The sequence below is a fragment of the Homo sapiens genome, chromosome 10 (assembly GCF_000001405.40).
Source record: "Homo sapiens chromosome 10, GRCh38.p14 Primary Assembly".
NCBI lineage: Eukaryota > Metazoa > Chordata > Mammalia > Primates > Hominidae > Homo > Homo sapiens.
This window is the reverse complement of record NC_000010.11, coordinates 63,626,017-63,643,347: the sequence shown is the minus strand read 5'-3', so window position 1 is coordinate 63,643,347 and position 17,331 is coordinate 63,626,017. Positions and strand designations below refer to the sequence as shown.

The 17,331-nt window shown below is 43.2% G+C and overlaps 1 pseudogene, besides 5 other annotated features; it reads left to right on the top strand.

Annotated features, from left to right (window-relative positions):
* Window positions 6,180–6,279: a silencer, noted in NCBI's record as "silent region_2411". NCBI's record gives its function as "represses an Ori minimal core promoter by ATAC-STARR-seq in GM12878 lymphoblastoid cells {active_cell/tissue: GM12878}" and the evidence as "EXISTENCE:reporter gene assay evidence [ECO:0000049][PMID:35858748]".
* Window positions 8,520–9,038, top strand: MRPL35P2 (mitochondrial ribosomal protein L35 pseudogene 2; annotated as a pseudogene).
* Window positions 12,693–13,022: a silencer, noted in NCBI's record as "silent region_2410". NCBI's record gives its function as "represses an Ori minimal core promoter by ATAC-STARR-seq in GM12878 lymphoblastoid cells {active_cell/tissue: GM12878}" and the evidence as "EXISTENCE:reporter gene assay evidence [ECO:0000049][PMID:35858748]".
* Window positions 13,493–13,542: an enhancer, noted in NCBI's record as "active region_3444". NCBI's record gives its function as "activates an Ori minimal core promoter by ATAC-STARR-seq in GM12878 lymphoblastoid cells {active_cell/tissue: GM12878}" and the evidence as "EXISTENCE:reporter gene assay evidence [ECO:0000049][PMID:35858748]".
* Window positions 13,553–13,732: an enhancer, noted in NCBI's record as "active region_3443". NCBI's record gives its function as "activates an Ori minimal core promoter by ATAC-STARR-seq in GM12878 lymphoblastoid cells {active_cell/tissue: GM12878}" and the evidence as "EXISTENCE:reporter gene assay evidence [ECO:0000049][PMID:35858748]".
* Window positions 14,123–14,332: an enhancer, noted in NCBI's record as "active region_3442". NCBI's record gives its function as "activates an Ori minimal core promoter by ATAC-STARR-seq in GM12878 lymphoblastoid cells {active_cell/tissue: GM12878}" and the evidence as "EXISTENCE:reporter gene assay evidence [ECO:0000049][PMID:35858748]".

Genomic DNA, 17,331 nt, shown 5'->3' with positions numbered 1-17,331 from the left:
TAGGTCCCCCTTCAGGACTGCGACACTCATTCTCCAGCTACCTGGGGTTTTCAGCTAAGGGTTCTCAGCTTAATCCTCCTAGAGAATTACTTGCAGCTGAAGGCCAATGTCACAGGCCCTTCCCAGTAAGAGGCCCATATCCAGTGCAGGGCTATGAAGGGCAGGCCCTCTTGCCTCAATCTGGGGAAAATATGAAAACGATCTCAGTCCAGAGCTCCTTCTGAGATGGGCTATCTCAGTCCAGAGCTCCTTCTGAGCCCTTTGACATAACAGTCCTACCACTCCCTCTGCCCAGTCTTGTTTCTTTCCCTCCCTCATAGACACTGTTCCTGAGAACGCTCGCTCCCAGGAACTTCTAGTGTGCAAATTTCCATCATCTCAGCGTCTGTTTTCTGGAAACTCAACCATCATGTTGTAACACGATGATAGGGAGGTAACAGACAAGGAAGTGCTGTAATGTTATCAGCAACATTAGATACTGTTTATCATAGCATAATGAAAACTATCTAAAAAATCCAGAATGATGTGTTTTTTATTCCTCCCATAAATTGTGCTTCTCTGCCACCATTCTACCATTATGGCCCCAGGGAAGAGAAAGGGCAAATGCCACCTTGCACAGAAGTAGGAGACAATGTAGGAACAGCCTTCTAGTTAAAAAAGGAAAGTGTAGGGAAATTTTCAGTTTAGGGAGAGAATAGGAGAGATAAGACGATAGATTAGAGAAAGGAGTTCAGATGCTGGTGTCTACACCTTACCCCTGTTGGTGGTAGAAATCCATGTGGGGAAATGATAGAAATCCAGATAGGCTGGGCATGGTGGCTCACGCCTGTAATCCCAGCACCTTGGGAGGCCGAGGCGGGCAGATCACCTGAGGTCGGGAGTTCGAGACCAGCCTGACCAACACCGAGAAACCCTGTCTCTACTAAAAATAAAAAAAAAAATTAGCTGGGCGTGGTGGCACATGCCTGTAATCCCAGCTACTGAGGAGGCTGAGGCAGGAGAATGCTTGAACCCGGGAGGCGGAGGTTGCAGTGAGCCAAGATTGCCCCATTGCACTCCAGCCTGGGCAACAAGAGTGAAACTCTGACAAAAAAAAAAAAGGAAGGAAGGAAGGAGGGAGGGAAGGAGGGAAAGAAGGAAGGAAGGAAGGAAGGAAGGAAGGAAGGAAGGAAGGAAGGAAGGAAGGAAGGAAGGAAGGAAGGAAGGAAGGAAGGAATCAATCCAGATAGGTTCGGGCAAGACTGAGAACCTTGGGGTTAGTGGCTGGATTCTCTGGAAGTAGGCAGAGTCAACAAGTTGTAAGAGAAGAGACACTCCATTAGCGCAGTACGGTTAGAAGCAATGGCCAAGCATTAGCAGAAAGGAGTCCAGATACACAAGCCCAGTGCTCCATACCTTGTGTGCGACTGGTGTTTAACAGGCAATGCAGAAACTAAAGCATGCCGTCCCTTTATTCCAGCCAGGGGGAGGACAGGAAACTGAGGATAGGGCAGAAGCTTGGGTTAGGAAGAAGAGGAAAGAACTTTGCAAGGCTCCAAAGCACTAAAGCCTGCTGAAAATATGACAAGTTGACTTCAGAGAGAAATCTTGATGAAAGAATGCCAGCCTGAGAGAGGGTTTGAAGACTGCATGGTAATCAGGGAGGTGGAAAAAAAATCACTGCATGCCACAGTGCAGAAATGTTTTCATCTTAAAAATAATTATTAAAAAACATAGAGTTATAAACAAATATAAAGTGACATATGTTTTGGTTTGTGGTCTGTTTATATGTTCCAGAGATGTTTACTTCATATCTTAATCACTTTAACAGCCTTAATGCTTTGGCCTTGATAAAGTTTAGTATATAATATATTCCTCATTTATAGCTCTGATAGCTTTAATTTTCTGAAAACTATCAAATTTTGCCATCTGTTATATTTCATGGGAAGTTTAGTGAAACCCTTCATTAGTAATCTAGTAGTTATGGCTTGTTGACATTTCCATCATAAGTTCTAATTTTGAATTATTTATGTATAACTGAGGTTTTACTTTACATTGGGCTGAAAGTCAAAAGAATTTCAGATAGCCTTTGTGAATGCTGACCTAGATTCATTACATACAGCAGAACCATATTTTATAAGAACATGGGAAAAATATGTAATTTGCTTTTATAATGAAAAGAACTTAGTATTTTAAGTATGAAGTTTAGCTGGTAATTAATATGAATCAGATTATTTTGCTTTAAAAAATAAACTCTGGGGCTGGGCACAGTGGCTCACACTTGTAATCCCAGCACTTTGGGAGGCCAAAATGGCGGATCACTTGAGGTCAGGAGTTCAAGACCAGCTTGGGCAACATGGTGAAACCCAGTCTCTACAAAAATTAGCCAGGTGTGCCAGGTTCCGTGGCTCACGCCTGTAATTCCAGCACTTTGGGAGGCTGAGGTGGGTGGATCAACTGAGGTTGGGAGTTCGAGACCAGCCTGACCAACATGGAGAAACCCTGCCTCTACCAAAAATACAAATTTAGCTGAGTGTGGTGGCACATGCCTGTAATCTCAGCTACTCGGGAGGCTGAGGCAGGAGAATCACTCGAATCTGGGAGGTGGAGGTTGCGGTGAGCCAAGATCATGCCATTGCACTCCAGCCTGGGCAACAAGAATGAAACTCCGTCTCAAAAAAAAAACCAAAAAACAAAAATTAGCCAGGTGTGGTGGTGCACACCTGGAGTCCCAGCCACTTGGGACACTAAGGTGGCAGAATCACTTGAGCATGGGCGATTGAGGCTGCAGTGAGCTGAGATCACACCACTGCACTCTAGCCTGTGTGACTGAGTGAAACCCTGTTTCAAAAAAAATATATATATATATGTGTGTGTATATACACACACATATACGTGTATATGTGTATGTATATGTATATGTGTGAATATATATAAACTTCTGAAAACAGATTTTAAAAATAACTGTGCAATTTGAATATAATTGGAATTTTAGTATTTTCATTAAGAATGTTATGCTTTGCTTTCTATGATTATCTTTAATTGAAGGCCTAAGAGAATAATATAATGTATAAAATAAAACATGACCAACAGCAAATATTTTCTAATTGTATTAATATTAACAAAATAACGAGTGCTTATCTAATGAACCTTAAGTGGTTCTGTAATAAATCACAAGAGATGTCTTTGATTTATAAATGTGTTAATATTTTCTCAAGGGTTTCCAGTTATTAAAAAGTTAATGTCCCAATATCAGAGTCGTAACTGTCTTTTTTGTATGACGCCATTTGTACCCTAAAAGTTTTTTTTTTTTTTTGAGACGGAGTCTCACTCTCGCCCAGTCTGGAGTGCAGTGGCGCCATCTCGGCTCACTGCAAACTCCGCCTTCCGGGTTCACACCATTCTCCTGCCTCAGCCTCCCGAGTAGCTGGAACTACAGGCGCCCACCATCACGCCCAGCTAATTTTTTTTGTATTTTTAGTAGAGACGGGGTTTCACTGTGTTAGCCAGGATGGTCTCGATCTCCTGACCTCGTGATCCGCCCGCCTCAGCCTCCCAAAAGTGCTGGGATTACAGGCGTGAGCCACCGCGCCTGGCTCTAAAAGTTTTATATTCAAAATAATTCTTAGAAAAGTTAGGATAGTGTTGATTCTGTTCCTCTAATAGAAACTTGATGTGTTTTCATGATATTAATATAGATTTACTCTAATTTCATTATGACTATACAAGCATTCATTATTTAGTAGCTTAATTTTTTTGTTTAAATATGCTGTTGTCGTTTTAATAGGTCTTGGTGATTTTAAATATCAGCTCCTGCTATTGTTTTCAAATTCTAGTCTTGACCGTGTGATTTTTTTTTTTTAAACACAGTATTTTTATCAACTACCATGGAAAGTTCATATTTCATAGGCTGACTGGGAGAAAACAGTAATTTGTGATGCTAATACATCAATTTACTTATAATAGAGTAAAAATATTATATTGGTATTTATAGAATCACAAAATAAACAATTTTTGTTAAGCTCAATTAATATAGGACAAATTTTGTCTAGTTTTAGGCTATGATGTAGCAAACAGTTTATTATAACTTTAAATTTTCTCTTCCAATATAACAAAGCAAATGTTAACAGTTGCAATTACGATTTTTAGATTGTTATCTAAGTTTATTTATTATTAGGTAATTGTATTTAAAACAAAGCAGTAAAATATATTGGGAAAGGGTTATGTTTATAGAGGGCTTCTTAATGTGTTATATTTCTGAAATGTAAACATACCTTTTTTCATGCTTAAGTAGAAAAGAAATAAAATTAAAAAATAAAAAAATTATTGTAAAGTGCATTTATCAAATTGAACCATTTGGGTGGTCTTGACACACTTTTGGTTGAGTATTAACTTCAGTGTAGTAACTGTTAAAGTACAATTTTTATTTAAGATATGCCTCTGAGATTTCAAAAACATGTACATATGTTCATAGAAAAAATATGGCCAGGATATATTCCAAAATGTTAATAGAAGTTTTTTCCTCAAGGAAAGTGATTTTTATTTCCTTTTTCATATTTTCTGTATTTTCCAAATTTCCTATAGTAAGTATATTACTTTTGAATAATAAACCAATAGGCTGGGTGCAGTGGCTCACGCCTATAATCCCAGCACTATGGGAGGTTGAGGTGGGAGGATCACCTGAGGTCAGGAGTTCAAGACCAGCCTGGCCAACATGGCGAAACCCCATCTCCACTAAAAATACAAAAATTAGCCGGGTGTGGTGGTGTGTGCCTGTAATACCAGCTACTTGGGAGGCTGAGGCACAATAATCACTTGAACCCGGGAGGCAGAAGTTGCAGTGAGCTGAAATTGTGCCACTGCACTCCAGCCTGGGTGACACAGCAAGACTCTGTATCAAAAATAAAAATAAAAAGAAACCAATAAATGCTAACAAAGAACTTGAGAGGAATGACCATCTGATTCAATTGGTAAAACTTCTCTTTAATAAGAGGACTGGAAAGCAGGCAAGGAGAGATCTTAGAGTGTATCCTGGAGTTTAAGGAGAGCTAGTGAAAGATTTGAGTCTGGCAAAGATCACCGTAGGTGCAGTGTAAAGAATGGATTAGAAGGGAGTAAGTGAGAGGTACAAAGTCCTCTTAGTAGGCGTTTGCAAGAATCTGAAGGAAAAAACTCTGAGGTCTTCGTTTATATTGAGAAACAAACCTTGTGTACTTTCTGAGATCTCCAGAGTGCCTGTTGCTTTACTTTTGAAGTTGGAACAAGTACCACACCTTGAGCTTGGGATCTGCCTTCCTGAGAGCCGCCAAGCGGCCAGATGACACAATCCAATTCAGGGGTGTTTATCTCTCCATGGGGTAAACCTTCACCAATGGCAAATGGATCCAGGAGAGAGACAGGAAGACACACTCACTCTTTTTTCTCATGTGGAATAGTCCAAGATGGAGTTCTTCCTTGTTAACCCTTCCAGGGACGTCCCATGCCTGCTGAGTGACCTGTTGTATGACTGCACAACAGTAAACAGTATAACAGTGCATCTCACTGTGTCCCATCTTCCCCTCCTCTTCCCCCTCCTTAGCAGACTGCTTTGTGCCCTGCTTTCTACAGTAGCTGGGCTTACACCACTTTTACCAACATAGTGGCACCAGGAGCGAGTGAAGAGGAGAACAAAACTTCAAGAGATATTTGGAAGGTAGTATTGGCACCAGTTTGGTGGCTGACCTAATGTGGGGAGTGAATGAGGGGGGTATATTTAAGACGACGCCTAGGTTTCTTTTTCTTTCTTTTCTTTTTTCTTTTCTTTTTTTTGAGACGGAGTCACTCTGTTGCCCAGGCTGGAGTACAGTGGCACGATCTTGGCTCACTGCAGCCTCTGCCTCCCAGGTTTAAGCGATTCTCCTGCCTCAGCCTCCCGAGTAGCTAGGATTACAGGTATGTACCACCACACCCAGCTAATTTTTGTAATTTTACTAGAGACGGGGTTTCACCATGTTGGCCAGGCTGGTCTCGAACTCCTGACCTCAGGTGATCCTCCCACCTCGGCCTCCCAAAGTGCTGGGATTACAGGCGTGAGCTACTGTGCCTGGCCCAACTCCTAGTTTCTAACTTGGACAACTAAGTGGCTAGTACTAGCACAATTCCTAGCACATATTAAGCCCTCAGGGAATATTTACTGGATGAATAAATGCATGACTTATGGGACCATAACTAAGGTAAAGACTGCAGAAGGTGTTTATTATTGAATCATATGTAGAATACCTCAAGGAGGTTTCACAAACACTAGTTGGAGGTGTTTGCAGTCCTTTCTAAAGAGGCATTCATACAGTTATATATGAACGAGTCAAGGCCCTAGAAAGAGAAGTGAAAAGCTGAGCCTAGAAGGGTGCTGACAGCCTGTCCACAGTTCAAACAGGTTTCATTCTTGTTCAACCCGAATATGGACCTAATCTGTTCCAAATAAGCTGAGTTTAAACTATTTCAATTGTCCATGATTCACAAAGCATCCCGGCCCAGTTCACATAGTGCTAAATCTAGAACCTCTAATTTCTGAGCTATTTTCATTTTACGAAAACCACAGAAAAACAGAGCTAAAAAGCCTTCCAAAGGTTATCTGGCCCACTCCCCTAGTTCAGGAATGATTTGGTACACAGGTTTAGCAAGATCACTGGTATTTATTTTTCTGTAGAGCTGACTGACACTCAACTACCAAATAACAATATTATGTTATGGAAATGCCAGCCAAGAAAAGCCTACAGAATTAAAAAGGAAGAAACATCTTTTTTTCAACTATAATTGGGTGGTGTCCCCTGAAGGTACAGTTTTTTGCAAAGTTAGGGATATTTTGGCTTAAATGGAATTTATGGCTAAGCAAAAATGCTAGACTAGCAATGGTTATAAAATAATTATTGTACTTGGTGCTAAAACTAAAATTACTGGTCTAAAAGCATGATGAAAATTCCAATGCCAGTCACTTCAGAGTAGCATCTTTTTTTTTTTTAGATGGAGTCACGCTCTATCGCCCAGGCTGGAGTGCAGTGGCGCGATCTTGGCTCACTGCAAGCTCCGCCTCCTGGGTTCACGCCATTCTCCTGCCTCAGCCTCCCGAGTAGCTGGGACTACAGGCGCCCGCCACCACACCTGGCTAATTTTTTTGTAGTTTTAGTAGAGACGGGGTTTCATCATTTTAGCCAGGATGGTCTGAATCTCCTGACCTCGTGATCCACCCACCTCGGCCTCCCAAAGTGCTGGGCAGAGTAGTATCTTATAAGTACTCAAGTTATAAAGTCCCCAAGAAAGGGGAGAACCAAGTACAGCCAAATAGGTTTGCTTTAAAAATACTCAGACATGGCTTACTATGTTCTAGGCACTGTTCTAAGATATTTATATTATTAATTTAATCCTTATAACAATCCTATAGAGGTAGTACTATTATTAGCCTCATTTCATGGATGAAGAAACTGAGGCATTGAAAGCGTAAGTAACTTCCCCAAGGTCAGACACTAACGTGGTGAATCCAGGACTCAAACTCATTACGGAACTTCTCTGCATGTAAGGGCCATGCTGTTCAAACTGTCAGCATCTTTAAACACCCAGCATGGCACATTGATCATACTGTGAATAGCACAGGGGAACTAAGAGATAAAGTAGATTCACATCTCCCATCTCATACTTGTTCTAGTGCATACATTTACTGAGCAAAATAGTAAACACACTTCCTCACACTATTTAAATTGTTCTCATTCTTTCTCTGTCACTGAGTGACCGTAGTTTGATTTGCATATTTATTGGGTGCCTTTTCTATGACAGGTACAGTTTTGGACTGGAAGTTCCTTGTTGAACAAGATTGACCAAGTCCCTACACTCATAGAACATGCATTCTAGAGGTAAAGCAAACAATAATCAAGTAAACAGGTAAACAGGATATTTGATAAGAGATGTGAAGGTGAATAAAGTAGGGCAATTGGTTAGGGAACGGCTACGGCTACGGTGCTTCATTTATATTAGGGGTGGTGATGAGGGAAGTCCTCTCTGAGGCAACATTTGAGCAGAGACCTGAGTGAGGTAAGAGAGAAAGCCATGTGACGGTCTGGGGGTTGAAAACAGAGGAAACAGCAAATGCAAGACCCTAAAGCAGTAGTCCGCTTCATATTTCTGAGGAACAGTGAGAAGGCCAGTTCCTGGAGAGGAATGAACAGGGAAGAAAGTGATAGAGGATGAGGTGAGAAGATTAGGCAAGAGTCCAGTCATATAGGTTGTGGTGAGGGAGTGTGGATTTTATCCAAGTGTGAAAAGAAACTACTAAAGGATTTTGAATAGTAGAGTGAGCACATTTCATTTGTATTTTTTAAAAAAACCGCTTTGGCTGCTGTGTGGAGAATGAAATATACGGTGAAGGAGTGGAAGCAGGGAAAATACTTAAGAGGTGATTGCAGCAGGTTGGGCAAGAAATGATGGTGGTTTGGACTAGTTGCTAGTGCAGGAGGTAGTAAGAAGGGATGGGGTTTGGGATACATCCATATCCATAAATTAGAGCTGAGAGGGATGGCTGCTTTTGCCTTTGCTGGTGCAGTGAGAGCAGCTTCAGGAATCCGATGGCTCTTGAATATTTTGGCATCTTCAGCATACAGAAACTGTGTCAAGAATGCCTCTCTTATTTCTGCATTGTCCACTGGACGTTTCAGTCATATTTAGACACCAGTTGTTTCCTCCACTTCCAGACTTAACCACATCTGAGAGAAACCTGACATGTGGGCATACTTCAGCGATCCTTAATAGAGTGTCCCCCTTGCTTCCGAGTGTCCTGAAGCTGCCAGTCAGATCTCTAACATACTTCAGTACATGAAAAGACAAGAGAAAGACTGTGAAAGCTGTCATCTACAGGTTTCTTCGACTTCATTGTGGCCTTTGGGTGAGGTGAAAGGCTGGTTAAAAGAAAAAAATTATGGAAAAAGGAACCTGCAAGAAAAAAGCGATTGAGGGAATTTGTATTCTGCAATAAAACCCAGAGTAAACTCTTAAGATAAAATGGCGACGTCATTCTGGGAGAGGTAAAACTGGTATGTCCATGATCCTTATCAGAAGTATCATGATTGAACAAACCTGAAAGTATAGATCAGAAGTTTCACTTGTTTCTCAGTTATTGAATATGTATCTTTGTGTACATGCTATCTTTGCAAAAATGGAGAAGATGATGTAAATTGTACCAATGAATATGTAAACATACAGTGACAATATTAAACTTATAAAAGTTTTAAAAAAAATTAGACCTAAGAGGAAGGGCTGATCCACTGGATGTGGAGTGTGAGGGAGGTAATTTAGGGAGATGAGGGAGCTGTGTTATTATTTGGGAAATATTTCTCAGGGAAGATGATGAGAAAAAAATTGCATAGGAGGCATCTGAAGGTAAAATGGGACTAGAGCCCTGACCACAAAGGCCACAGCTCTATCCTGAGGAACTTTCTGAGAACATGACAGGAGACCCACAAGAGGGCACACTTCTCTCTTCCAGCCAAAATTATGGACACCTTCCATTCCAGTCCCTTCTGCTGCTGAAAAGTCATCCTTCAGACCACGATCATAGACAAAAGAAGAAAATTCTACCTGTTTTGTAGGTATTAGGAAGACTCACAGGGTGATCTGTGTGTATACAGAATCTATACTATAGATAAGCCAGAAATAAATACATAGGTACCTCTTATTTTTAAAATATATATACCAATGTATATATTAATATATCCACTATATATATTGAAATATGTTGGCCGGGCACCGTGGCTCACACCTGTAATCCCAGCACTTTAGGAGGCTGAGGCGGGCGGATCACAAGGTCAGGAATTCGAGACAAGCCTGGCCAACATGGTGAAATCTCGTCTCTACTAAAAATACAAAATTTAGCTGGGCGTGGTGGCACACGCCTGCAGTCCCAGCTACTCGGGAGGCTGAGGCAGGAAAATTGCTTGAACTCGGGGGGTGGAGGTTGCAGTGAGCCGAGATCATGCCATTGCTCTCCAGCCTGGGTGACAGAGTGAGACTTTATCTCAAAAAAAAAAAAAAAAAAAAAGGAAAGAAATACGACTGGGCGTGGTGGCTCATGTCTGTAATCCCAGCACTTTGTGAGGCTGAGGCAGGCGGATCACGAGGTCAAGAGATCGAGACCATCCTGGCCAACATAGTGAAACCCCATTTCTACTTAAAAAAAACAAAACAAAACAAAACAAAAAAACAAAAAACAAAAAACTAGCTGGGCATGGTGGCATGCGCCTTGTAGTCCCAGCTACTTAGGAGGCCAAGGCAGGAGAATCACTTGAACCTGGGAAGCAGAGGTTGCAGTGAGCCAAGATCATGCCACTGCACTCCAGTCTGGTGACAGGGCGCGACTCTTGTCTCAAAAAAAAAAAAAAGAAAGAAATACGTTAATATATACCTGGTTATAGACACTTTACCTTGCTTTATAATTCAGTACTGGTCTGAGTTCCTTAGCCTCTCTTCACTCCATGGTTTTTTTTTCTCTTTCTCCTTTTTTTTTTTTTTATTAAGAGACAGGGTCTCACTATGTTGCCCACACTAGTCTCAAACTCCTGGGCTCAAGCGATCCTCCTGCCTCAGCCTCCCAAAGTCTGGGATTTCAGGTGTGAGCCACCACACTTGGTCATGATATTTTGTCAAGCCCAAAGCCTCTCAAAGTCCTTCCCCTCCTGGTCAGGGCTCTGGAATACACAGAAAATACCTGGACACAGCTACCTTTGAAACCAAAGAGTTTGAGTGCAGGAAGGAAGAACTAGTCCAACCCTTCTTTAACTTTAAAGCAAAGGAAGCTGAGCCTGAAAAATTTAAAAGACTCCTATAGTTTCAGCAGCTCCCCTCTATACGCAATAGCCCTGACCTTTTCAGAATTGCACTTTCTGTGCATCTAATATATTTTTGAGTTCCCAAATTTTCACTTAATACAGAGGTTGCCTTGATCAGATTCTTCTAAAATTCCAAAGGAAGAAGGGGCTACACAGAAAAAGGAAGAGGATGTTTTCAACATACATCTGTTAATACCTTATCATCACCCTAGTGAAATTTTCTGAAAGAACGAACAATCTTCTTTGGGAAGTGGTTATAATGGGAAACCCAGAAGTCAAATCCATGTTTTAAAAGGCTTTCACAGTATGACGAAAGACTAGGTATGCATCATTATCATTTCATCCAATTTCCTCTAGTTAGACTGAAAGCCCTGCCAGGGCAAGGACTGGAGATGTGCCTAGAGTGTTGTGGGTTTTATTCATTCAACGAATGTATTAAAACTCATACTCCTTTTAAAAAAGGATCTCTGGAGGCTACCCAGTTACCATTGCCCACACCTTTCATTTTGGTGGTAAACAGTCTACTCACATTGATAATAACAATTATGTTCTTCCTATGCATTAAACTTTGTGTTAAGCACTTGATTTGCAGTATCATTAATCCTTAACCCTTACACCACTCCTATGCTACTCTAAAATATACAGTTACATTTTAGAAATGATGAAGCTTGCCAGGCATGGTGGCTCACGCCTGTAATCTCAACACTTTGGGAGGCTGAGCTGGGAGGAATGCTTGAGGCTAGGAATTTCAGGCGAGCCTGGGCAACATAGTGAGTCCCCTATCTCTAAAAAACAAAAATAAAAAATTAACCAGGTGTGGTGGCATGCGACTGTAACCCTTGCTGGTTGGGAGGCTGAGGCCAGAGGATAGTCTGAGCCCAGGGGTTTGAGGCTGCAACGAGCTAGGATCGTGCCATTGTACTTTAGCCTGCGCAACACAGTGAGACCCTGTCTCTAAGCAGCACCAGGGGCAAAAGACATTATGCAATTTGCCACAATTCACAGAAATAAGCAATGGAAGAGCTCATATTTGAAAACTTACCGCAGGCATTTAGTATCCTGTTTTGTTTTGATTCTTAGTGAAGCCTGGCAGTCTTTGGGAGAGGAAACCCCAAGGCTTGTTCAGAGTTTCAGCTGGTGAATAAGGTGGGACCCATTCATGCACTTCGCCCCCACCGGGAGATGTGCCATAAATTGAAGACTGTGAATAGTCACTGGTTTTGTAAAAGACTATGTGTCAACTGGGACCATCCGATGAAAAAGGACCAACATCATTTAACATAATTTTCTTGTTGGTTATGATTTTTTCTCTAAGGATATTTCCCCCCTCTGGTTTTCTAAATTGTCACAAAACATTTGCGCAACGACCTGGGGTGTTATGACACCCTTAGATGAAAATCTGAGGACAGCTTGGATGAAGAATAACTTTTAAGTAACAACATAGTCCGCCCTCGCCTTGGTTAAACAAATCGAATGGAAACGATTTGTTCAAGATGGGAGCATCAAATAGACGCAAGCTCTTCGAAACAGCCCTGATTCCCTGGCAAACGCTGTTGCTTAGCGAAACGTCAAAACCCCTGCGTGCAAACAAACGTCTGAGGGGCGCACCCGCCTTGAGCAAGCTTCTCCCGGCAGCTCGGGCTTTGGAGAACGTCTGGAGGACATTGGTAGCTCCTCCCTCTCCGGTTAAGGACTTGGTAGGGGGAAGAGGGCAGAGGATCCAGGATCTCCGGGTCGGGTCATCTGGGTTGACGCGTCCTGACACCCAGGACGGTGCAGGGGAGCTCCGGGGCGAGTCGCTTCGCGCCAGGAAAGGCCTGCGTCTCAGCGCTGGAACAGAGGGGAGAAGCAGAGGGGAGCCCCGCCCTCGGTCCAGTTCTGGAGCAGTGCGCCCCTCCCCCGCCCCGGAAACGTCCCCGCCGCCCCTCCCTCCACCACCACCTCCCGGGGACCTAGGTTGTAAAATCCCACGCAGTGGGGCGGGCACGGTGACGGGGGTGGGGCGGGTGGCGTAAGGCGCCACCGCCCACTGGCACGGCACCAGCGCCCTCCAGCACCCAACCGCCGCCTCCCTCTCCCCGGCGCGGCTCCAGCCTCCCCCCGCCAGCCCAGCCCCCCCAGCGTGGCTCCAGCCTCACTGCACCCACCCACCCTGCACCGCAACCTCCCAGCACCCTAGCTGCCCGGCCGGCCCAGCTCGGCTCTGGAGGGCGTCCCTCGCATCTGGACTCCCTCTGCCCGAGGGAGGAGCCGCAGCCGCGGTCGCCCCGCCCCTGGCGTTCTTTGACTCCCCCGGCCTCTTGGACATCTGGGTGCGGGGGTTAGTGCATCAGATGTGGCTCCTGGGCCGCCAGATGTGCGCGTTCCCCGCCCGGGGCAGGCGGCCGGCGAGTCTGGGAGGACGCGTGGGAGGGGCTGGGAGTTTTCCCTCCTAGCAGACTTAAAAGCCAGCAGAACCTCCAGCCCCCTGGGCTCCCGGCCTGGGCCTCCTGGGTCTCCGGGACGCACTGCCCAACGGAAAAGTTTTCAGCCCAGTCTGTGCCTCGCCGCCAAGCAGCCCTTGGGGCTTCTCAAAGTGGTAGAGAAAATAGGACAGCTCTACAGGATGCCCCAAAGAAAACCCTCATTTGTCGACCAGGCGACCTTAGTGCTGGCGTGGGACTACAGCTGCGCAGCCAGCAAACCCCAGTTGGGGGAGGGGGAGAAGTGGCAGTAGAGTTCGCATCTGGGGCTTGCTCTAAAGCGCTCTTTGACTGCTTTTGGATTCCATATTTGAAGTTGAGAGTCGTATTCCACCTGGTACAGGCAGTTCAGGGCAGGAGAAAAGCCAAGTGAACTCTGTGACTCAATCCCCTTGGAATGTGCCTGGAATAATAATAGGGACTTGAAAGGGTTTTATGGCCGAGGTGGCTAGTGGAGAGCAGTCTCCTACGCCTTGCAGTTGGCGGTCGGCCGAGGGGGGCAGTATTGCCTTATGCAGAGCTTCTGCGCCTGCAAACGGGACAAAAATAGTCGGAGCATCTGGTTTAAATCAACCAAAAAGCATTTCTATCAGCTTAATCCACCGGCCTACAGAACTGACAGAACAGGACAAGCCAAATATATTCCCGGTACTCTTTTAACACTCCAATAATAGCTAAGCCCAATCACACTTTACCGCTGGGATTTCTGTGTCCTACCATACAACTGTCGTTATTTTATAGATGTTGCAAATTAAACTTCCTTTTCTGGAGTTGTGTGTGGGCATGTGCTTAAGCAGTTACATTTGCAAGCAACGCTCGACTACGCTGCCCTTTTCGTTTTCCTTTTTCTTTCTCTCTTTTGGTATGAGGTCTTAGAATAGTCAAAAGTATCTAAGGCCAACATATGGGTTGCTTACACCACTAAATATATAGCTGCATTTCCCTCTCTTAACGCCCTAATCAGGATTCCAAAGGCAAGTTGGAACAAAAGAAAAAACGTGTCTGAGTGTAAAGGGAGAATTTGTGCCAAGAATTACAGTCGCAGGGTAAATAACCTTGTTTTCTCCTTCATCAGTGGCCGCTACCAAGTCCCGTTCTTGGAAAGTGGCCAACAGTCTGTCTGGTGGAGGGTGCTGCTAATTAGAGAGAGCCCATAAACCTCTCTGTCAAAGAGGGCATGTGACCTTCTCTTCAAGTCTGAACAATAAAGCCGGCGAACTGCAGACTGCACTCAACACTGGCTGCCCCGCGGATTCCCTAAATAGGAACAGGATGAAGGCCAGGCTCAAGAGGTTACCATAGCTCTGCTCCCACACTTTGAGGAATCGGTCACTCCACTTCCCCATATAACTTGTTTCAATTACTCTCTACAATCTATTTAGAGGAGAGCAGCTTGCAGAGAGCACTCATTGTCTAATCTAAATGAGGAAGCAATTATTACTTGCTGCAGTCTAATGTGCTTTGAGACTGGTGGGTCAAAGAGCAACCTGATTTCTTGTAACGTGTCTTTGCACTTTGGAAGATACACCTTTTTAATGACATTTATTTACTCCTGCTTTTAGGACACATTTTTCTTTCTATTAAGATTACAAAATTAAGGTGTTTTTCCCCTTCTCAGTCTTCAATGTCCTTTTTAATTTTAGAATTTAAGCTATTGTAAACACCCCAAGTACTTTTGCATATTGTTTAATGTTAAATATTATTTTTTTTAGTGCTTTCTTATAGGCATGTTCTCTGATTATAGCAAAATAGAGTTCTCTAAGTCTTCCCTTCTTTGTTTAATTTACCTCCCTGGGAGCCCCCTTGCTAGCTTTAATTTTATACAACATGTTGTAAACTATAAATAATACAGCTCCACTTTCCTAGAACATATGGAAACTGTCGCCTGCTATATATCCTAACTGTACTTGCTTTCAGCTTAAAGACTGAATAAAGTTAATCTCCTGTGTAAAAAGGCATTTAGCCTTTTGTGTGTGTGTGTGTGCATTTTATTAGTTAAAACCCAGTATGGAACAGCACATGAAATTCTTGTTGTGAACAGAGCACATAAAAGGGTTTACAAGGTGTGGTTTGAAGAGAGGAAGCCGTGGAACAAATGTTGGTGGAAAGGAGAGGAAGGAAGGAAAGCACTTCCTGAGAGGATACTCCTCCTGTTTCAGCTGCATCCTCTCTTCAGATTCTTCCTGTTTGTCTTAGTCCATAACTGATAGTAAATTATTTGTCTTCATTTTTTTCTATTCACTTTAAAAGCATCCTTTCTCTCTGTACTAAAGCTACTCTTGAAACCAAATCCATTAACTTCCAATGACTTAACAACTTTACTTCATTTAACATTCTGATAATCTGAAACTTTTGTATTATATAATACATGTATGGAAGGAATCATTTCCATGTTAACTTTCCAAGTATTCTGTGATCTCTAAGACAACCAACTGTGACGTAATTAACAACAGAGTCCGAAGTCACAAACATTGCGGTTGCTTGGGTCGTAGGTTGGTCACTGTTTTTTGTTTTTGTTTTTGAGACAGCATCTCACTGTGTCACCTAGGCTGAAGTGTGGTGGTGCAATCACAGCTCATTGTAGCCTCAATTTCCCGGGCTCAAGCGATCCTCTTGCCTCAGCCCCGCAAATAGCTGGGACTACAGGTGTGCGCCAGCCACCACGTCCAGCTAATTTTTGTATTTTTTATAGAGATGGGGTTTTGCCATGTTGCCCAGGCTGGTCTCCAACTGTGCTCAAGTGATCCGCCCGCCTCACCCTCCCAAAGTGTTGGGATTACAGGCATGAGCCACTGCACCCGGTCACAGGTTGGTCACTAGTGAGTCTCTGCGTATTTGTAAAATCGGGATGATGCCTCTTCGCAAAGTGTGAAAACAAACATATACTACTGTTGGTTATCACAACTGAATGTAAGGGGCATCACAAGCCTTATAAAGTATTAATTCTTCTTCCAAATACATCACGTGCTACAACATCCCCTTTCGTTACAAGATAAATTAATAAAATATTTATAATTTCTACATACTGAATTTATGACTTTATATTTTGAAGTGGAGTTTCTTTTGGAATTTTTTTTTTTTGAGACAAGGTCTCACTTTGTCACCCAGGCTGGAGTGCAGCACAATCTCAGCTCACTGCAGCTTTGACCTCCCAAGGTTTAAGCAATCCTCCCAGCTTAGCCCCCCAATTAGCTGGGAATATGGGCATGCGCCACGACACCCAGCTAATTTTTGTATTTTTTCATAGAGATGGGGTTTTGCCATGTTGCCCAGGCTGGTATTGAACTCCTGGCCTCGAGTGACCCACTCACCTTGGCCTCCCAAAGTGCTAGGATTACAGGCGTGAGCCACCACGCCTAGCTTTTGGAATTTAATTTTAAGGATACTGTGATAGTTAATTTTATGTGTCAAATTTGGCTAGGCCATGGTACCCAGGCATTTGATCAAACAGTAGTCTATGTGGCTGTAAAGGTATTTTCTAGATGTAATTAGTGTTTAAGTCAGTAGACTTTGAGTAAAACAGATTACTCTCCATAATGTGGATGAGCCTCATCCAACGGTGAAGGGAGAATTCTACCAGCAGAATTACCTTTGTACTTGAAACATCAGCTCTTCCTTGGGTCTCTGGTGTATTGGCCCACCCTGTAGATTTTGAACTTGCCAGTGTCCACAATCACCAGTCAATCCCTTGAAATAAATCTTTCTCTACATATCTTATTTGTTCTTTTTCTTTGGAGAACCTTGACTAATTCAGGTACTTACTATTGACTCTTAGCACTACCATATCTATTGTAGCCCTCAAATTGAGAGTGACTTAAATTATGCTTAGCATTGCCATGGGGGAAATGCCCACATATACCCCATGTTTCCCAGTAGTTTAACATCCTGTCAAAACACATTAGAATTCAGCCAGATATTCTAACCTGGCTTCATTAACTCTCCTCACGCATCTTTTCCAAATCTCAGCATTAAACAGTGATTGGAAGAGAAAAACACAAGACTGATGTGCAAAAGCATCTGATCCTGTTCTCTCCCTTCACAAC